The 22,937-nt window shown below is 39.9% G+C and overlaps 1 long non-coding RNA gene across 3 annotated transcripts; it reads right to left on the bottom strand.

Annotated features, from left to right (window-relative positions):
• Positions 1-1,250: 1,250 nt before the first annotated feature.
• LOC124900983 (uncharacterized) lies at positions 1,251-16,189 on the bottom strand. 3 transcript variants are annotated; one of them, XR_007058783.1, is made up of 5 exons: positions 16,084-16,189; positions 11,721-11,814; positions 9,872-10,079; positions 4,472-4,584; positions 1,251-3,265 (listed from the first exon to the last, which is right to left on the bottom strand). It is a non-coding gene; the product is annotated as an uncharacterized LOC124900983 (long non-coding RNA). The 3 variants fall into 3 exon arrangements; XR_007058782.1 differs by lacking the exon at positions 9,872-10,079 and adding an exon at positions 8,646-8,746 and having other exon boundaries at positions 1,251-4,584; XR_007058784.1 differs by lacking the exon at positions 9,872-10,079 and having other exon boundaries at positions 1,251-4,584.
• Between the last annotated feature and the right edge of the window lie 6,748 nt (positions 16,190-22,937).

Raw genomic sequence — 22,937 nt, 5'->3', positions numbered from 1 at the left:
TTATTACTGGAATTGTACTGGAAGTCCTAGCTAGTTCAATGCATCAAGAAGAAGATAAAAAGAGTCATACAGATTAGAAAGGAATAAATAAAACTGTCTCTAGTCCAGACGACATGATTGCTTATGTGGAAATTCCCAGAAAATCTAGAGGAAAACTTCTGAAACCAATAAATAGTGTTGAAACTATTGGGCAACCATATACAAAAAAATGAAAAGAAAAAAGAACCTTGAAATTCTCACAACCTCACACCTTATTCAAAAATTAACTCCAAATGGATCATAGGTCTAAATGTAAAATTAAAAAAATACAAATGTTAAAAGTAAATGTAGGAGAAAGCAGCCTGTATTTTCCCATATTACAAACTTTTCTGTATTACGAACTGTGGTTAGGCAAAGAATTCTTAGACATCTTACCAAAAGCATAATCAGTAACATTAAAAATTAATAAATTGAACTTCATCAAAATTAAAAATTTCTTTCTACAAAGACCTTGTTGAGAGAATGAAAAGACAACTCACAGATTGGAATGAAAATATTTGTAAATCATGTATCCGACAGAGGACATGTATTCAGAACACATAAATAAGTCTCAAAATTCAACAATAAGAAAACAAGCAATTAAAAAGTGTGCACAGACTTGAACAAACACTTTACTTTTGAGGGAGATGCCAATTAAACCCATGACATACCACAACATGTCTATAAGAATGGCTCAAAAATCAAATGCAATACCAAGTGTTGGTGAGGATGAGGAGCAACTGGGATATCTCACACAATGCTTTTGGGAATGAAAACATTAAAGCCACTCTGGAAAATAGTTTGGCAGATTTTGGAAAGTTAAACATACATTTACCATATATGCCAACAATCCCACTCCAAATGTCCTTCAACAGGTGGGTGAATAAACAAATAGAGGTACTTCCTTACAAAGGAATATTACTTTGTAATAAAGAGAAACAGGCTTGGATGAATCTCAAGGGTATGTCAAGTGAAAAAAAAAATTTCTAAAGGGTGCATACTGTATGATTGCATGTGCGTGATATTCTGAAAAAGACAAAACTGTGATGGAGGACATATCAGTGATTGACATCAGTGTGGGTGGGGACAGGGGTGTGACTACAACAGGAAAGAATGTGGGACTTTGCTGAGGGTGATGGAGCTGCTCTGGGTCCTGATTGTGCTGGCGGTAGCTACATAAATTGACCCATGGATTAAAATTCATGGAACTGTACACCAAAAAAAGACACTAATTTACTTTATGTTAATTTTTATTTAAAAGAGTTAGATGCAAAAAAAAATTATCCCTAGACAATTATCTATAATAAAAACATTATAAAACCAGAGTGTACGAAGGGAAAGGAAACCTGAGAATTCTACTAGAGAAATAAACTTTGCCTTTGGGCTTTGACATCTCCAGAGTGTGACTGTGAAGGGGCCTAGCAACCCGGACCAGGCAGTTCTCTCTGCCCAGGGCCTCTCCTGATCGTGACCATGACGTGCTGAAGGAGCAGCTGTTGGAATGAACAAAGACTCTTTGTGTAGCTTGGTGTAGGTGTGAACTGTTTCTTGAGGCGGGAGTCAGAGGGATTGACTGATCTGAATCCCATGACAGTGCCATACATGTCAGCCATCACTTGTGAACCAGGTAACTAACACCACCTTGCCCTGTTCTTTATACACTCGAAAACACTTTTATAAGTGCTGCCTCTTTCAAATGTCAAAGCATGTCTGTGACAGCTGGGGTGGGTATAATTATCTTCATTTTATGAAGGAGTTAGCAGACTGAGAGGTGGAGTGACTTCACTAAGGTCAAGCAGCAAGGGAAAAGCCCACAGGTAGGGACACAGGGATTCTGGCTTGTACTCTTCATTCACTCATTCATTCATCCGTAGAAAAAATATTTATTGAGTGCCTACTATATGACAGGGAGTATAGTGTACGATTCTTTAAATTCCATCTGAAAGAAAAGACACACGTGTACATCTTCAAAGCAGGGTGTTAAATTATAAAGACCATATATGTGGCAAGAACAATGAATTGCAATGGGAGTGCTAGTTGCTGAGTGGTCAGGGCATACTTCATGAAGCGATGGGCTTTGATCTGAATACAGAAAGTGGAAGAGAAAGTGAGAGAGTATGGAAAAAGTTGAGATTGAGGGAGGTGCATAGTTGAAATGCAGTCTGTGTGGTGGCCAGCCTCCCAAATTGCCCCCAGTGATTTTTGCCTTCTGGTATTATGCCCTGCATAGTCTCTTCCCACACTGAATCAGGGTCATTCACATGAACAGTAGAGTATGGCAGAGGTGACAGTGAGGGATTTCCGAGGCCCGGTTATAAAGGGCATATGGCTTTACCTTGGCTCTTGAATCATTTATTCTGGGAGAATTCAGCCACCATTCCATGAAGTCACTCAAGCAGCCGTGAAGAGAGGCCTGCTTAGAGAGATACTGAGACATCTTGCCAACAGCCAGTACCAACTTGCCATCCACATGTGTGAACCACCTTGAGCCCCCAGTAAGTTTTCAGATGACTGCAGAGCCCAGCAGATATCTCAGTTCAACCCCAAGAGAAACCCCAAACCAAAACCACCCAGCTAAGCTGCTCCCCAAATTCCTGACCCACAGAAACCAGGAGAGATATAAAAATTTACTGCTGTTTTAAGCCACTGAGTTTTGGAATGAGTTTTTACGCAGCATTAGGTAATAATAAAATGTATGAGCCAACTTGCAGAAGAAAGCAAACATGATACATGTTCACAAGCTAGTTCTTTCAGGCCAGGAAGGTGGAGGTTCCAGCAAGCTGGACACAAGGTAGAAAAGATCTGAACAAAGGCAATGGCAGAAAAGACTAAGAAGAAGAGACAAAATGGAAGACTGTCATTCAAGAGAGAATTCCCAGCTCACCCTGGGGGTTCTACACCTGAACAATTAACTGTTATTTCTGCTAACATTAACAATTCTGCTAATGCTATTAGCACAACTGTCTTAGGGAATACAGAGTGAGTTGTTTCCTTTATACCTTACTTTCTGTGCTGTGACAAACACTGGTTAGTCATGCACCATACCCATTTCCCTCTCTTCCCAGACACAATGCTCGATCATATTTTTCAGCTTCCTTTACAATCCCTTGTGGCTGTGCGGCTGCCTTCTGGAACACAAGCAGCAGTGGAATATGGCACTTCCAGGCCTAGTCCATGAAACTCCCTGCATGATCCTTTATCTTCCCTCTTCACCCTTGTGCTGATGCCATGCAGAAGATGGGAGTCCCTAGAGGATGGTAGATCCATCAGGTGAAAGACAGGGAGACAAATATCACAGGTTCTCACTCATATATACGAGCTAAAAAGGCTGATTTCATGGAGATCAAGAGTACAATGATGGTGCCAGAGTCTGAGAAGGGTGGTGGTGAGGGGCAATAGAGACGGGCTGGTTCATGGATACAAAAATACAAGTAGATAGAAGGAATAAGATCTAGGGTTCAATAGCACAATAGGGTGACTATAGTTAGTAATAATTTATTGTATATTTCAAAATAACTAGAAAAGTAGAATTGGAATGTTCCCAAAACAAAGAAATGATCAATGTTTTAGGTGAAGATGTCCCAATTACCCTGACTTGATCATGACCCATTGTATGATTGTATCAAAATATTATATGTACTCTATAAATATGTGCAACAGTTATGTATCCATAAAAATTAAAAATGTAAAAAAAGGTAAAAGATTGTGGGGCCCCAAATTACCTCACAGAATGTCACCTGCAAAATACCTGCATTCAGCAAATATGTGAACCAGAAATAAATTTCTGTTGGGTAAAAAAATAAATACACTTGGAACAGTATAAAGTAAGTATAGGGAAAAATAGGGTGGAGTAATGAATGATCCTATTCACACACACACACACACACACACACACACACACACCTTAAGGTCCTAAGAAAAATGATCAGTGACATGATTCACAGAGACAATGAGATTTTTATAACGGAGAAAGAAAATGGTTGCTCAGGAGAAGTATGACTACTTCCAGTACTGAAATCAGACAGAAGTCCTTCCATTGAGTCCTCATAAAAATGACACAACATAACGTCATGAACAATGTCCCTCAACAACATCCTCACAGCCAGTAGAACAAGCTTAATAACTCCATTCCTTAGTGTGTCCTTCACTGAAGGATAAAGTAAGTGATAAACTGACATGTCAAAATCCAGTAAAATCAATTCTATAGATGATGGGGGAAAACATAAAGTTCAGTGGTTGAGTTAATCAGTTCTCTGTTGGTCTGGTTGTACTTAATAAAAAATGGTAATACACTGTGACTCTCTTGGATAACCCGCCTCAACCAGTCCTAGATATCTGGGATATGTACATAAATTGATTCACTAGCAGTTATGTATATAGCATTGAGGGTGGGGAAAGGAGAGTAGGAAAGAACCAAATATCCTGGTGTAACTGCCCTGTGACCCTGCATTACCTCCCAGATCCCATCTGTCCGCTTGCAGTTGCCAGAGTGTTTCACCATCTCATGTATTTTGCTGTATTTCTTCTCCGTGCGTTTTCCAGGGGCAGTGCAATTAGGAACACTGACTAGAGAATAAGAAAGGAAGAATAATAGAGTATAAGTATAATTGTAAAAAGCCATTATGATATGCTTTCAAAGCCAGTAATCAGCACTCTTGCTTATCATGCAAATCACTATTAGTATTTTTATTTGAACTATAACTGTGTCTTGTTATTTGACAGAGAGTGCTTTTGAGAAAAACCTAACATCTGCCCACAATTGGATTCCTTTCCAAGCATTCCTTGGAGGAAGAGGAAAAGGATACATACGTCAGGAGGGTAATTTAATACTTGTAGTTAACATCTTGAAAAGGACCCATTGTAAAAGGGGAAGCTGAAGGGGATGAATTAAGAAACATGCTGAGTAACTTCTGGTTGTCCTTGAAAGCAAATATGGAGACTTTTTGTCTTTAAAATGAGAAGCTTCAAAATTGGTCTTTTGCAAAATAAGAAGGTAATATGCCAATCTGGGAAATCAAGACTCTTTTGGAGAACAGGAATGATTTGAGAGTGGTTAGGCGGGGAAGTAAGGATGGAAGAAATGTGGAAGTAGGGAAGAGCTCTGGGCCTAGAGACCTGGGGGACTGATTTAGTAACTGTGTTCAGTGAATATTGTCAGTCATTTTAGTGAGCATTTAAAGAAAACTGGAGGAAAACTGATCTTTGGGCGTGGTGGCACTTTCTAGAATGGGAAAAAATGGTATTGCAAGAGTAGTTTTGTAAGTCTCTGGATTTGGAGTGTGGCAGTGGGAGAATGTCTGGAATCAAATGCATTTAAAATATAAGTTGCACACCATGTCTAGTGATAGTCATTTAGATTCCCCTAGAGTCAGGCAAACTAGCTGTGAATCTGACAACAAGATGGATAAATTATTATCCTGACAACTACAAATCTGGCAAGAGCTGGAGAAATTATTCTGGCAGTAATGACAGAAACAGGTCAGGCTTGGATTGAGCCAGAGCTAAGTAACAAATATTTCTAGTATTTTATGCAAAACCCCATTCAACCATTCTTCTTTCAGTTCAGTGAAGCTTAGAAACAATAAGAAACAATATTTATGTGACTTCGGAAGAATTCAGGAAACTGGTAAGGATGCCTGAAATCAGGAGAATCAATGGGTGAAGATGGATTTATGCTAGTATTCTTTTAAGTGCTGCTGTAATCTTAGACTTCAGATTTTGCCTTCAGAGTGACATAAACCTAATAATCTTTCCCAGCCTTGGAAATATTTCTTCTCCTCCAATCTCCAAGGTGACTTCTTCTTATTCCATCTCCTAAACTACTCTGTTTACTCCTAATACAATACTATATACTTCCTTGCTCCATAGATATAGCAGACACCATCTAGGTTGCACCCAACATACAATTTATCCTTTCTTTTGGTAAATAAACCCCCAAATTTGTTTGGCAAGTCATCTTTTTCCACCTGGCCCTGGGCTTCACTGGACAAGTCATGGAAATTCTATTCCTCTAGCCAGTCCCTTGCATAGGAATAAGCTTGTGATACCATTCCATGCACTACGATATGAAGAGAAACTTATTGAGAGGTTTCTAGGGAAGGTTTCCTAGTTTTGAAAAAGAAATACATGGGGAAAAAATCATCATTTTGCTGCTGAATGCTATCATGTGCTTGGAACTAATCCAGGAAAAGTCAATTGAGTAACAACGGCAGAGTAGAAAGACTGAAAGAATGAACATCCTTGATGTCATTAGGGCCACTGAATCAACAAAGCTAGGACTTTCCATTTTAGGACTTAAAAAAGTTCTCATTGTTTAAGCAATTTTGAATTGAGTTTTCTATTACTTGCAGCTGAAAATATGATAACTGATAAAATACATATTTGTAGGCTTTTACTCCTTATTTCATAGTAAACGTATTTGTGATTACCTACAGTACCTGCCATATACCAGGTGTCAAGGAATGATGGTTTCCTAAAGAGACAAATGCATGGATGGATAGATAGATGTGCTACATCTGCACATCTGCAGCTGCATTGCTTCGCTCAGTGAATTGCATCACTCTCCACCCAGGTGTGTAAGCCACATATCTCTTCTACATACTTTTCTATTTCTCCCTCCTTATAGCCAATCTATTTCCAAGTTCTGGTCATTTTGCCCTCTAGAGTCATTCCAAATCCACTTCTTTTATCTCTATCACCATTCTATTTCAAGCTATCATCTCGTAATTGCTTTAGTACTGTAACCTTCTAACTAGCTTTGTGGGCTTTCTTAAATCTGTTCTCCATACAGCAGTCAAAGGGAATCTTTTCAAAATGCTAAATTTCCCATCTCTCCCACCTCCATTTTTTATTAAATGATGAAGAGGTAATTCCAAAATTCATAAGATGCCCACAAGGCCTGAATGGTCTGGGTCTTCTACCTCTGTAGGATACCTCTTGCCTGTGATAACCTAGCAAGACAGGCCTTCTGTTATTCCTTGAATGTGGCTTGCTTTGCGCCTGCTGTTCTCTATGGCTGTCAGGGTCTCCCCACTGGCACTCCTACACAATCACATACCCCATGTGTTCCATCCTCCATTTTTCAGCTCAGTCTTGCCTCTTCCAAAGAAGCATTTCTTCTTCTCTCTGAGCAGGCAACGCTCCCTTTTTTACGCTTTTCTAATACCATGTACCTCTCAGTCATAGCCAAGATGACCATCCAACTGGGATACGTTTTAGAGTGAATGAGGATGCTATTAATAATTACAGTGAGACAATAGGTATAAACAGAGATTGTTCTGGGATAACAGAAGATTTGGTCATTCTATTATTTTTATGTTCATTAGTATATTCATTTAAGGTCTGCCTCCCCTGACATTTCTACATGGGGGGGGACCATGTCCTTCTTTTTGCTGGCCATCATATTCCCCATGCCAGGTTCAATAATAGATAATCAATAAATATTTGTTGGAGCAATAAGGGAACAAATAAATATGATAATTCAATTACCATTTTCCTTTTCTACTAATTTTTATTGTTCTCCTTAGACTTGTGTTAATGTAATGTTATGCTATATTCTTGCTTCTTGTTTTTTAATATCTGGTCATTTGGCACAGCTCTGCTTTATTGCTGACTCATTCAGTCAGCAAGTGTCTACTGAACATTTACTATGTGCTAAGCATGATTCCAGGGATTCAAGGGATACAGCAGCAAACAAGACACAGTTTCTGCCCTCAAGAACTCACAGTCCCATGAAGGAGACAAATGAGGGCCACTAGGATTCTAGATCAGCTTCTTTCAGATGAATACCTAGCCTATCAGGGCTTGTCCTGGAAATGAAAGGGACAGTTTCAATTTCTTTCATTTCCTTCTCAGTCTGTTATTTCTCCTACTTCAGTTCCAGGGTCAGTATTTTCATGATTTCCATTCCTTGCTAAAACATAGCTCAAGGAAACATTCAGCTACTCTGCAGTAATTTCAGATTCTGGCAATATGTTAAAAATGATATTAATGCATATCAACTTGCAAGAAATAAATGGAAATCTCAAGATGTCTGAAATTAAGAGCTATAAGCTTAGAATCTGATCCCGAAGCTTCCCTATGGGTGGTTATCAAATTCAGTAATAGCTAGTAGTTTGGGCTTTAACATACGATCAGGCCAAGATATGAGGATGTGGGTCCTATGAGACACTGACTGGGAACTAATACCCCTTCATGAAGCTGGGATGCTCAAAGGGATATAGCCTCAGTAATTAGGGGCATAGGGAAAAAATCTGCCCACCTTAACAGGCAGAGGATGAAATTTGGTGTTCGGAACTACGAAAAAGAAAAAAACTCATTCCCAGAGAAATAAAAATATCACGCCTTTGCCTCATGCTGTGTTAAAGTTAGAATGTAAACTTCTGTAGTGATTTAGAAACTGTCAAGATGATAAATTTACATAAAAATTAATCCTAGGACAGTCATATCATTGGAGTACCTGGTAGAAGTGAATAGGAAATCACTGTGAAGTGACACTTCCACAGTCTAGGCTACAAAGAATTTTTGTAGGAAGCTTTCTATTGAAGGTGAGTTTATAATCCAAGATATAGGCAAAAAAAAAAAATCTAGGATAGAAACCCTGTAATCTACACTAAAAGAAGTATCACCTGGAAAAGATGATGTCTTGAGTAGAATCTCTTGGATACAGATTCTGAGATGGAGATTTGCATGTAGGAGGTTTATTGGATAGTGCTTTAAGGCGCAACACCTTGAGGACATGAAAGAAATGGGATTAGTAACAAGACGATACAGTGATACAGTTGCAACAGAGACCTCAGTTGATCCTTCAAGGATCTGTGGAGCTGGGATGGACCTTAAGAATCATCCCAAATTGAAACAATTAGACTGGGCTTTTGTACCTCAACATTAGCCAGTTATTGAATGCAAGTTGCCCCTGGAAAGAGGTCAACAACTTGGGAAAGATAGCCCCTTTTGGCCAAAGACAATTTCCAGAGGGAGGCAGAAGTGGGCTATCAGCAGCCAATGCACACAGCAGTGGGGAAATGAGTGCCTTGGTCCTGAAAGGGGTCTAGGAGTTGGGGACTCCAAGCAGCAAGGAACAACATCCACTGCAGACTGCCCTCTTGAACTAGCCAGATCCATTTACATTTGCATTTTGTGGTAAGTTTGAACCATCTGGGAAGAGCATCAATAGGTTTCCGGTTGGTCTTAATTCCTGGAGAAATTTATGTAAGGAGTTAGTGGAGAAAGTTAGCTATTCCTGCTGCTGCAACTGCTGTTGACTCTTGAACAACACAGGTCTGAAATGTGCAGGGCCAATTCGTGTGGCTTTTCCTCCACTTCTGTCACCTTTAAGACAGCAAGATCAACTCCTCTTCTTCCTTCTCCTCCTCAGCCCACTTAGCATGAAGATGACAAGGCTGAAGGCCTTTATGATGATCCACTTCTACTTAATGAGCTGTAAATGTATTTTCTTTTCTTCATGATTTTCTTAATAACATTTTCTTTTCCGTAGCTTGCTTTGTTATAAGAATACAGTGCATATAACGTAACATATGTGTTAATCAACTGTTTACATTATAGGTAAACCTTCTCTACAGTAGTCTATTATGAGTTAAGGTTTTGGAAAGCCAAAAGTTATATGTGAATTTTTGCCTACTCAGAGGTCAGAGCTCCTAACTCTCAAGTCCTTGAGGATCAACTGTAGTTAGGTTTAAGAGCACAACTAGTTTTCATGATGTCCTTCCTAGACATTCCGATTCTCTTCACTCCTAGGAAGCACCTCTCATGATCTTAGTAGCTTAACTATGGAAACTGAGGATTTAAGTCTCTGATTACCACGCCTTTCTGAGGCTGTGTCTATTGCACTTACCCATTAACCATCCAAATTAGGCAACAGAGTATCAAGAGACTCCCCAGTGGTTCATCTGAGTTTGAAACATATTCTTCCTTTTCTTCATTATGTAACAGCAGCTATACTAGCCGAATCTCCTCCAAATGATCAGTACGAATTATTCCTGCAAGGATGGTTTGTCCTTCCCTTGCCTGCTGGCTTCTTGAGATGAGGAGCCCTAAGAGACCTGTTGGCAGCCACATAGTTTAAAGTAAAATGGGATTCTCATCATATCCCCCAGTGGCAGCATTCATCCACTGGGAATCAGAACTTTTACCACACAGCCTAAAGTTGTAAGAATGGGAAGCACAAATTCCACAAGTGGGTCACTGTGAGTGACAGTAAGATACAATGACAGAAAATAAAAATGATTAGTTAAGAAACATGGTGGATAGACTGTAAAGGTCCGGTACACACGATATGAAACAAATATAACAGGAATACTTCATGTGGGATGGGAAATAAGCAAAGTGAAACATGGCAGGTTAAAAGCAGAAAATAATATGGTAGAAATAAAACCAAATGTATACAATCACAATAAATATAAATGGACTAAAGCCAATAATCAGATCACAGAGATGCTTAGATTGGCTGTTAAAATCCAATTGTGTAAAAGAGACATATCTAAAACATAATGGCACAGAAGATTAAAAGTTAAGGGATGAGAAAAATTCATTACAACAATTCTCATCAAAAGAAAGCTATTGTGTTTATATTTATCAAACAAATTAGTTTTTAAAGCAAAACACATTTTGATGGATAAAAAGGGTCTTAGAAAAGCATTTAACAGGAAGATGTATATTTTTGAATATATATATACTTAACAGCATAGACTAAAAATATATAAAGAAATTCAGAGGTGGTGGCAACCTACCTAAAGTGCTACATCTTCTATGAGTTTTGCATTTTCACAAGGCTTACTACCTCACATCCACACACAAAGATTAGATTTAAGAGAGTGGTTGGCCAGGCGTGGTGGCTCACACCTGTAATCCTAGCACTCTGGCAGGCCAAGGCGAGCAGATCACAAAGTCAGGAGACTGAGACCATCCTGGCCAACATGGTGAAACCCCATCTGTACTAAAAATACAAAAATTAGCTGGGCATGGTGGTGCGTGCCTGTAATTCCAGCTACTCAGGAGGCTGAGGCAAGAGAATCGCTTGAGCCAGGGAGTCAGAGATCGCAATGAGCCAAGATTGCACCACTGCACTCCAGCCTGGCAACAGAGTGAGACTCCATCTCAAAAAAAAAAAAAAAAAAGAGAGAGAGAGAGTAGTTGTTGGATTGATGTAATCCTAACTATTCAGAAGCAAGGTTAATTTATAAATACATTCTGGGAAGTGATTAAATAGATCCTTTTTCATCTCATTAAGTTTGTTTGCCAAGTACAGCTGTGTTTATGAAGTTGAGTTTTTGCTTACTGATTCTAGGAAGCAAATTTAGTAAATGAATTGTGGAATCGAGCTGAAATTTCATAAAGAAATATAAAACCTGAGCAATTGTCAAAGATTCATGCCCCATGGTAGACTTTCCAGGTAAGTTTCTTACAAAACTAAAATCAGTTTTGATAACTTCGGATTGGCTGACAGCTCTATAACAAAGCCAAATTCTGGAAATATAACTTTTTTAATGTTTTGTCTTTTTGGGTGTGTGGGGGTTATTTATTTATTTATTTATTTATTTATTTATTTATTTATCTTGCTTGGCTAGACCAAAATAAATCTCAGCAGCATGAGTTATACAATCACAATCTCAATTGTAAAAGTCCCTCCCATGGACTCAAATTCTAAGAGAACCACACACCTCTGGTTTTCAATATCTATTTACCAAGTCAGACAATCTCTTCTCTCTCACATGTGGGTTCTTCCCTTCCCCTTCTTTAGGTCTCTGTGATCTTCTCACACATTCTTGCTTGTGCTTTCTAAAATAAAAATAAAAACGAATAGATTTATCAGGGATTAAATCGGGCAGGATTTTGTAACTGGTACTACTGTGACAGGATAAGGGGGTAGAGAGAGAGAGAGAGGAGAGGGAGGGAGAGATGAAGAGAGAGAGACAGAGAACATGAGCACTGAGGCTTTTTGCAGGGGAATAGATCTTGAGAGGGGGTAGTGATAGATACGCTCTTGATGGCCTCGCTAAAGGGGAGATTTGGCTGCTAAATTTGACCTTGCTCCCAAGTAATTGATGAGACGTAACATTATCATCAGAATGATGGTAATGAGCTATAGACGCAGACTCTCTGCCTGTGGAGATTGCGGACAAAATAGACTTTAAGGCAAAACGCATTATTCAGGCTAAAAAGACTCATTACATGAATTCCTGTTAGGAAAGCTTTGGTGGGGTTATTTGATTATAGCGGGCTCAGTTCTTGCACATCTGAAAAGCAGGAAAATTCAATGGGGAAAAAAAAGGTGTATTAAACTACACTTGGTGATGATGTCTGTGCCTCAAGTTTCCTTGCTCTTGTTATCATAAAGAGCTGATTTTCACTAGTCCCTCAAAATCAGGTTCAATATCAAGTTCATTATTAGGCTCTGTCTTATTACACTTTTGGTGCTGCATCTCTTGACACTTGAAAATGCCAACTATTCTTCTCGTTGTGAATTTATAATAAATTAACTTCTTCATTTCTGCTTTCTTTACATTCTTTCTTGAGGATTTTCCTTTGAAGAAGATGCTTGTAGGCCGGGCCCAGTGGCTCACGCCTGTAATCCCAGCACTTTGGGAGGCCGAGGCGGGCGGATCACGAGGTCAGGAGATCAAGACCATCCTGGCTAACACGGTGAAACCCCATCTCTGCCAAAAATATAAAAAATTAGCAGGGCGTGGTGGTGGGCACCTGTAGTCCCAGCTATTCGGGAGGGTGAGGCAGAAGAATGGCGTGAACTCAGGAGGCGGAGGTTGCAGTGAGCCGAGATCGTGCCACTGCACTCCAGCCTGGGTGACAGACTGAGACTCCGTCTCAAAAAAGAAAAAGAAAAAGAAAAATATGTTTGTATTTTTATCCACAGTGATCTCACTAGACATTTTTAAGTTAAGGCCTCTAGTTTCTGATCTATAGTTTGTCTTCTTAAATGAGAGTTCAGTCATGCATGTTTGACAAGCTCTATCTCTGGAATTTTGGTTCACCTTGGCAAATGTTCTCACTGAATCTGGAAGCAATTTCTCATTGTTTCTTTCTCTCTTGCTCTCCCTTTCATGTTCCCTCTTACTCTCTCTTTCTCTGTTTGGCAGCAGTCTTTCTACTGGTGTCTATGTTTTATTGATTTATGGTAATAGATGACCAGCCCCTTCTATCATTTACAGGTTGACCCCCTTCATTGAGGTTTTTCTAACACCGACACAAAAGATATAAGCACAGATAACCTTGTAAATTCAAAGGCTGATTCCACTGAGTTAAAATTCTATAACATGCAAGTGCTGAAACTTGACACTAATGGAAATTTAAACCAACAGCTCAGTGCTTAAAAATTCACACCGTGAATGTTTGCCACAAATCTAGGTTTGTGAAACTGGGTTGGTGACGTCTCTATTTTAGACCGTGGCCTTCAAACTCTGCTGTGCATCAGAATGCTTCAGCATGCTGATTCAAAATACAGACTCCGGGCCCCATCCCTAGAAACTGATGCAGGGATTCTACGGGCAGGGTCTTGGAGGGTCTATATTTTGAAAAGCTCTGCAGCTGATTCTAATGCAGATCATACTTCAATCTCCATGAAAGGGGTTGAGAAAGAGAAAAGCAGCTCCTGACACCCAGCTGGACCTTGGTGTTGATAGATGCTGGCCTGGCACTGACAGGTAGGCCTTGGTGAACTAGACAATTTCATAGAACAAGGCCATCAGACAAGGCCATTCTGACCATGATGAATCAAGACAAAAACAAGACCACTTATAACCATATCTGAACTCAGACAAAAACAAGAACAATGCCCAAAGCACAAAACACCAAACATCTCCCTCTCCCGTCTAACATGAGTGACTGCCGCTACTTTGCCAATGATAGATCTATCCTTGTTCTATTCTGGCCTGCCTATAGATTTACTGACATGCATAATCATAGAGTTATTCATGCTTCCTCACAGCATCCAATCCAGAGCAAAGCCCTACTTCCTGAATCCTCCCCAAAATCACTGAACCCAAGCCCAAATCCTATACTGTCTTTTCTAACACTCTCTCACTGAGATGCCCCTATAATTTCTGTGGTTGCTTTCTCCCTCACTGCAACAAGTAATTCATCCAACTAGTTTAGCTACAGGTGTGCTCCTGATGGCCATTGGCTGGAAGACATTGACAAGGCTCACCAGGTAGACCAGCGCTTTCCATGCTCCCTCTGTGCCCAAGATGTGCTGACCATTCATGGCTACCAAGCCACTCAGGGGCCTTATAGTAACCCCAGGAAATTTCTGAGCCCTGCCATGGAAATGTATGTGTACTTACTGTATCCATCATGATTCACACAGGACAGTACACACCGTAGGGGTAACTGAGGAGGAGAATTCGATGAATTTGCAAAGGCATTGTCAATAAAGGATGATGAAGCACCAGGGACTAGCAACAACAGGGAACTGTTACCACTGCCAGGCCTGAGGGGTCAAAAGCAAGGAGAGGTTACCAGAGACTAGTGGGGAGCCATGAAGAGGGCTACTCAATAGGAGCCATGGCTTTATACACACTTGGGGCCCCACCCCTGGAAAGTGAGGCAGTGATTCTCGGGACAGAGCCTTGGGGGTCTGCATTTTGAAAAGTTCTGTGGGTGATTCTAATGCAGATCACACTTCAACCACCATGAAAGGGGCAGGAAAGGGACCTCCCTATGGCATGGCTAGAAGAGGAACACAGCCACTGTGGCCAGGAGAGTGGGGCTGGAGACAAACACCTGACTTCTCTCTCCTGCGTCCCTTGATCTCCTGCCCAGCATCTCTGTAGACGACAACTGAAGCCAGAGGCTGCAGTACATCCCATTTTATTTTGCCTCAGTATCCATTTTGAATCTAGGTTTAACTTTCTCATACTGAAGGCAGGGCTTGGACACAGTTCTCCACCTCCTCTTTCTCCATGTGGTTGATCCAGATACCTCTCTTACACTGCCACCTCTTGGTGATCTCCTTCTTACGGCACAGCTAGATACAACCCGTTTGACTTGCTCCACTGGCCCCCACGCCCTGCACAAACTGCAGATATGCCGCAGTGACGACTTCTCAGTCACTGTGTGACTCCTCCACGGAACTCATGCCTGCTTGCTCTAAATCCACCAATTAGAACCTGCTAGGGTAACGCCCTGGACCCCAAGAAAAGTTTCAACCTGTAAGTTCCTCTCTGTCTCCCTCCGCCTGTCTCTCTTGCTTCCCACTCACTGGTTGAACACTCTTGTTCCTAATGGCTCCCCACTTCCTGTTGGCCCTGAGAAGTGTGCTGCCCTCTTCTATGAACTGTAAATAACGAAAAATACTTCTGATATTTCATGCGTTTTGTTGTGCTGCCTCCTCTGCGTCTCACCTGACCGACACACGAGAACATAATGTCTTTCCGGGTCAGGGCTCTCCTATGGAGTGGCCATCTTGGTAAAAACAAACTGGACACAGACCAGACAAGAGCCACAAGGGCGTCTGCCAGAATAAACACATTTCCTGTGAGAAGAACACCTGGTCAGGGGCCAGGCGCTTAGGAATCACGCTGACTGCCAGGATAAAGTATCCCGTGAAAGGCACACTGTAAACGTCCACAACCACCTCCCCTGAAGACCTGTCAGGACAGGGACCGAGTTCCTAGTCACTCTCCTAAGAGGGATCCTAGACCACATTGGAGGGACTACAACAGAGGGCAAGAAGGCCCATTACACGGTCCATCTGGTCATCCTCGGAAGATCCAGCGCAGAGTAGAAACAGAACAGAGAGCCAGGATAGGCTGTGCACTTACAAAGAGTCTGCTTATGCCACCTGTATTGTAGATATGTAATGTTATCAAATATTATGTCAATCAACAAGTACAAAAACAGAGTCCTTGTTTCTATGAAAACTAAGTTGGATGCTTTAAAAAAACTTAATAACAACAACAATAATAACGGTAAACCAATGTTTGTGCTAATTACTTGTAACAGTACTTGCCAAGTACTGTTCTAAATGGCTTTAAAAAACACAAATGTGTTCTCCTACTGTTCTGGTGGCCAAAACTCCAAAATGGGTCTTACTGGACTAAAGTTAAGGTGTCAGCAGGGCTGTGTTCTTTCAGAAGGCTGCCGGGGAGCATCTGTTGCTTCCGTTTTCCAGCTTCTAGAGGCAGCCCAGATTCCGTGGTTCAGGCCCCCCTCCAGCAATCACATTACTCCAACCTCTGCTTCTATCACTCTGACCCTGACACTCTGACCCCCCTCTCTGACCCTGACACTCCCACTTCCCTTGTAATTACACCTGAATAATCCATTTGAATCTCCTGTCTCAAAATCAGAGATAATTGCATCAGCAAAGTCTCTTTGCCAATAAGGTGATATATTTACAGGTTCCAGGGATTCAGATGTATATTTCCCAAAAATGAGGACTCCTATATAACCAGAATATAATCATCAAAAGGAGAAAATTCACACTAGTACATTACTACTATCTAATCCTCAGGCCCCATTCCAACTTTAAAAGTTGTGCCAATATTGTTCTTTATCCTAAAAATCCAGTTACGAATCATAGATTGTAATTAGCTGCCGTGTCTCTTTAACCTTCTTCAATTGGGAAAGGATCCTCGATTTCTATTGACTTTCATGACCTTGACAGTTCTGAAGACTACAGGCCAGTTATTTCATAGACTATTCCTCAATTTGAATTTGTCCAGTGTTTCCTCATTCTTTTATTCAGGAAGATCATACAAGTGAAGTGAGGCTGTGTTCCTTTCAACGAAGCTAATCAGGTACCACGCCATTTTTATTTGTCTCCCTCCTGATGGTACTCACTTGGATCACTTGATTAAGGTGGAACCAGAAAGACTTTTCCTGTAAAGCTATTTTTTCTTCATACTTAATAAATAATTTGTGAGGAGGTATTTTGAAACTATGTACATACCCTGTTCCTCATCAAACTTTCAATGCATTCTTTATTATCTCTGTAAGGATTTTATTCATGGGTTATAATCTATTAATAGATTCTCTTATGTATATTATATTATAATTTAATGTAATTTAAATATTTATATTATTATATAATTGTAATGTAATATGTAACTATTTATATTATAATTAATATAACTATTAATTATAAAGTTACATATTACATTATAATTATATTATATAATAATGTAAATAAATTATATTAAATTATAATTAATATATATAATAGAATCTATTAATAGATTGTAACCTGTTAATAAAATCCTTAAGGGGGATCCTACTGACAATCCTTTATCAGTAGCATTTCCCTTGAGCTGGCTTTGACATATTCTCATTATTCTCTGAGTACTTCCATGCTTTTGGCACAAGATGTTCCAGGTTCATCTTGTGCTTTCCCTGCCCCAGCCTTGGAATCAGCAAGTCCTCCAAGGAGTGTCCTGGCTCCTTTTAGCTGGGAATAGTATTAGAAACCAAGACCTGGGTTCTAGGTATGCTCATCACCATGGGTGCTTACAGCCAATGAAGCGAAGAAATGTATATTACGTATATACTTGCTTCAGTTGCTATTTATATTGAAAATTGTGAGTCACATTGATAACTCCAATTCCAAACCAATACAACAAAGTTCATTCTAGTTTTCTCCCTTTCCATATTAGATGTAGGGGAGGGATTATTTTGCCTGCTACATTTATGAACTCATTTAACCCCTACAACATCCTCATGATTTAAATTAAGAAAAAATTATTGTACCCCCAAACACTATAGTGTGTATTTCAAATGGTTCAGGAGGAAAAAAAGTTCTTTGTATTCTACTGCAATATATAAGTTTGGGATTATTTTAAAATTTTAATAAGTTTATGTCTACAAAAACCTTTTTTGGATCAATAGACTATAAGATACAATAGTGTTCATAGTATTCCTTGTCATCTGAATGAGATAAAGGCATTAACCATTTTCCAAATTGTGGGGAAGGAGAGAGAAGGAGAAAGAAAGGGAGAGACAAGATTTTAATCTCAGAATAGTAGGAGCTGAGAAAGGTGATTTATGTTGGCTTATCTTTAAGGATCTGGTCTCATGATTCAGAGCTGCAATCTTCAGCTTGCCATTTTGTTCATCATCTTCATGTGGTCACTTGACAGCCATCCAGGCCTGAGGTCCACTCAAAAACTAGAGGATCCTGATTAGCTAATCAGCCATCTTGGTTGGAAGACAGTTCATCAACATGGCAGAACCTATTACTCTAAAACTAACAATTGAATGAACTTCTTGAGGCTTCTGAAGACAGTCCCCTCAGTGAGAGAAAAACAGAAGAGAACTGTGATAACTCACTTGGATTTCAGAGATCTCTGGTCCAAGTTTCTTACTTTACAGACAAAGAAACCGAAGCATAAAGTGGTGAAGGATTTGGACAAGGCTTCACAGTGGTTAAGTTTCAGGACTTGGAAAACACTCACATTCCCACGTACATCTTCAACGGCATGCCAGAATTAACTTGGGTGCTCATGACTCTGTTGCATGTAGCAACAGCCTTTATCAAGTTTGCACTGGAAGTCCACTTTATCCCAAAGGATTAGGGGTGGGAGTTGTTTGGTTTCTTAATAAAATCAGTGAAAGTGGGGAAATCATAAAAGGTGGTATATAAATACCTTAAACATTTTTTTTGACAGTTTTTCTTTGGCACTTGATCTGCTGATTAGTTTCTGGCTTTCTTGCGTAAGCCTCAGTCATGATGCACCTTCTCTAATTTTTACTCTCCGTTTTCTAAGGAGGAGTTAGAACTTAAAGATATTTGTCAAACAATTTGTGTGCAGAACCATTCTGCATTTTAATTTTTTTCCCTTTCACTCTTTTAGAATTGTCTCATCCATGTTTTCTTAGATGTGTGACTTAACTTCTCTGTGCCTCAGTTTCCCTTTCTGCAAAATTAGATACTCCAGGCTCATCTTGTATTTTCTTCACTTCAACCCAGAAATCAGCCATTTCTCCAAAGAGTCCTGGTTCCTTTTAGTGGAGGATGAAATTAGAAACCAAGATCTGGGTCCTTGATATGCTTATCACTATTGGATTGTTGCTGTTCCTAGGTCTTCATAACAGACAGAGCTAAGGAATGTATGTTACATATCTACTTATTTCTATGTCTGTTTATATGTATTAAAAACATGAATCACACTGATATCTCTGATTCCAAACCAACACCACAAAATCTGTTCTAGTTTTCCCCCTTTCAATCACTGTAACTCCCTTCTCCAACCATGAAGAATCCAGCTTGCATCATCCTTAATAGATTTACTTCTTTGATTAATATTCCTGTATATAACCAATCAATTTCCACTACCATTCTCTTGCTATGTGGATTCTGTCACCCCATGTTCAACCACCTATCCGCATGGACAACCTCCAAACTCTAAGGGGGCTCTGACACCTTTGCTGGGCCACATGCACACCAGGATGCCCACTTTATCCTGCTCAGGCTCTGACTTGCCATGCCACACTGGCCTGCCCTGTGTGGACATCCTCCTTACTCTGTTTGGGCTTTAACTCCCAGGCTGGGCCAATTCCATGCTTGTGACCATGCATTACCTTGCCTAGGCTCTGATACCCAATGTCAAGCAGCTTTGCTCTTCCTTACACAAGGCTCAGTACACACAGCTCTCATGTTCACTCTGACTTTGTAGCTTCCTCGTTCTTTTGGATTAGATGCCAATCTTGCTCTTCATCATCTAAAAACCCTTAGGAATGAATTGTCCAGGAAGACAAAAAGATGAGGAGAAGAAGACCTCCTTTTTGTTTTTAATACTTTCTCTGACAATGAAGATAGTCAGTAGGGTAAAGAAACAGAAGGGAATATTTGAATTCAGCAGGACATTTTGGTGCCTCACATCTTGACCTGTAGTATGTAGGGGAACTTATTTCCAGATTTATTTATTCCCAAAAGGGTATTGTCACCAAAAGACACTATCTCTTCACTCAGAGCACACTCAGTATTCAAATATTCAACTGCCATAATTGCCAAGATCACTAATTGATAGATACTGTCCTTTTTTTCTTTTTCACTTCATTCTCACATTAGCATGAAGGACTTACCTACTCATGGTATTTAGCTCTTTATGTATCTTTGATAGACTCTTGAAGGGCTGACACACAAGGGTATGCTATAATCAGTGTGGGCTTAGAAGTTAGATGCATTCAAATCATTCTAATTTATCAGTTGTGTGAATTTGAGCAAGTTATTCGCCTTTGCATGTCTTGATTTCTTTAACTTTAAAATAGGTGGCAATATCTATCCTTTGTTATAAGAAAAAATATATATGTATATGCAATGTAGTAAAGCACCCTCTAAACTTTCATTCCTATCACTTCTAACTCCTTGGAAAAGCCCCATGTGTGATTGTGTGTGTGTGTGCATGCGTGCAACTGTTTGGCTCTCTCTTCATTCTTTTTTCTTTGACAGCTGCGACCATGTAAAAGACTACAGGCATGTAAAATTAATCAATAATACCAGTTCTGAGAACCATAAAGTTAGCCTAATTTCTCATTGAACTTTAAATAAATGTATCACCTACTTTTCTCAGAAGTCTTTGACTCAATGAGCACTACCTGGATTTCCCTGAAAATCTTGATTCTTGACAGTTTTGGGACTGTCCTCAGGCCTTTAGCAGCATCCCAATGGTATTCTCATTATTGCCAATACAGGGGAAGGCAGAAGCATCATTCTGTAAATCTGCCTCTTTCTGTACTCAATTTACCAAGAGTACATCCTGCCACCCACTTGTGTGAAACTCCTTCAGTGTCCTGGCTTGCCTGCCTCACTCTATCTCTCAACTACTTAGTGTCAAGCTGTGGGGATTCCCTGTTCCTTCCGTGTTTCAAAAACCATTCTTAAAGAAGTCAAACTGGAAAACCCTGGAAGAGTTTATTGGTCCAGTCTGCCCCAGTGAGTTGGAGAAATCTATTTTTGTTGCCATATAAAAATATTCTATGATCTCCTGCATTACATTCTTGTCTTTGAACCACTTTTGTTGAAACAATACTTTTTCTTTGGTTATTTTGTTATAATTTTGTAGTATAAAACCCTTCCTCTGATTACATTGGAGCCTTGTGCTGAGTGAAATACAGTGTCTCTCTCATGTGATGAGATGGAAATTATCCTTGCCCCCATGACACCAGAGTAAAATGGGAAACTGCACTTGTGTAATCATCAGAGTACAGCCCATATAAGAGGAGTATAGAATTGTTCCCTTTTTAGGGGGTTTAATTAAAATCATTACTTAAAAATAAGCATCATGACAACATCATGACTGGGCTATTTTCAAACCATGGAACACCTTTGAGAATTCAGGGTTCCATTAGAAAAGTGCCTCTTGGTTTATACATGTATGTTTGCTGGATTCAAAAATTTAAAGGAGTCTATTAATCTTCTGGTAATGGCCTCACTGATCATTTTATAGTTGTCTAAAAATGAGAGGCATATCAAAATAATTTAATATTTTATAATATTTTAGAGGGTCATTATAAGACGTTCACTTTTACTCAGTAAGGATTAAATAACCAAGTCTATGCTTTTTATTGCTGATTTCTACGATTAAAGCAAGTACATATAAGCTGAGCTGATTGCAATATAAAGAATTATTCTCTTGGGTCCTACTTGTATTCATTCTCTTCCTACATTTAAAAAACCCATTCATCAATGACTCTGCAGCAGCACCAGGACTTAGCATGCGCATATTATCATCTCATATCCCATTGCAGTCTTCCAAAATCATGCGTGTGCATGTGGGTATGTAGGTACCCACCCACACTCACAGACACATATATACACATGCAGGCACTTATAATGGCATCCAAACGTATTTACCCATAATTACATCCTAGGCATTCTATTGGACACAGATATTTTTGCATTCATTTATGGAACCTGCAAAGAAGCCATGCTAATGTTTGGAGTCTTAAAGCAAACTGTAATCTTCTAAACAGTGAGGTGAACCTCAGAGGCAGTAGTCTTTTGATATGCAGCATAAGTGAAATGCTGCATAATATAAAATGATGGTGCTATTAATCCTACGGCACTGGTGGTGCCTAGCACCCCCCCCCCAATATTGATACCAACACCATTGTCTCTGGCTTTAAACTTCATCAGTATGCAAACAGAGTGTCACTATGATGGGTGGTAACTTGGTTGGATGCACTTTCTACATTTCTGGCAAATGAGTATAATTATTTTCAGAGCTGCGGGCAACTCATGCATGTTTTATCCTCCATCTGGACCGGCACGGTACACAATAGTGATAAAAGATGATTTTCCCCCTTGGATGTTCACAGGCCATCATCGACACAGTCCTGATGAAATGGCCATGTATCCCCTAGCAGTTCTATATCTGCCACAGCTTGACAACAAAATTATTTCCCCATAGTACTAAAACACTTCAAATATTCAAGCCCTCTGTGCATATATTTGTGTTTTGAAGCATTCAGCGTTAACATAATGTGGTAATTTATAAACTGACAAATTAACTATGCAGAAATCACAGAGAGGCCTTATGAGGTCTGCAAAGGAGCAGAAAAGAAAGCAGAAGCTTTTTGCGCTCTGTAATAATAATAATCCTATCAACTGTCACAGATTGCCTGGCCTCCCATTGTTAGAGCCGCTCACTCTGAAGCTTGCTTACTGTAGGTGATTACGCCTGAGATGCCCCACTCACCTCAACGCCAGCCAGGAGGCTCAGCTCAGGACTTCCCAGTGCCACCCCTCTCCAGGTCTGGGGCTAATGGGGAAAAGGGCCCCAATGAAACACACAAGTTGCCCGTATCGGTCACTGAGAAGCAAACATGGAGGTGTGGAATGGAATTTGGAAACGGGACATGCACCTTCCAGACAGGAATTGCATGTAGGACTGGCAAAATCAAAAACAGCAAAACTGAGATTATGCATGTGGAAGCCAGATCCGCCTTCT

This window comes from Homo sapiens, chromosome 5, assembly GCF_000001405.40.
Source record: "Homo sapiens chromosome 5, GRCh38.p14 Primary Assembly".
NCBI classification, from domain to species: domain Eukaryota; kingdom Metazoa; phylum Chordata; class Mammalia; order Primates; family Hominidae; genus Homo; species Homo sapiens.
The sequence above is the reverse complement of the archived record's forward strand: the minus strand, read 5'-3'. Positions and strand labels throughout refer to the sequence as shown.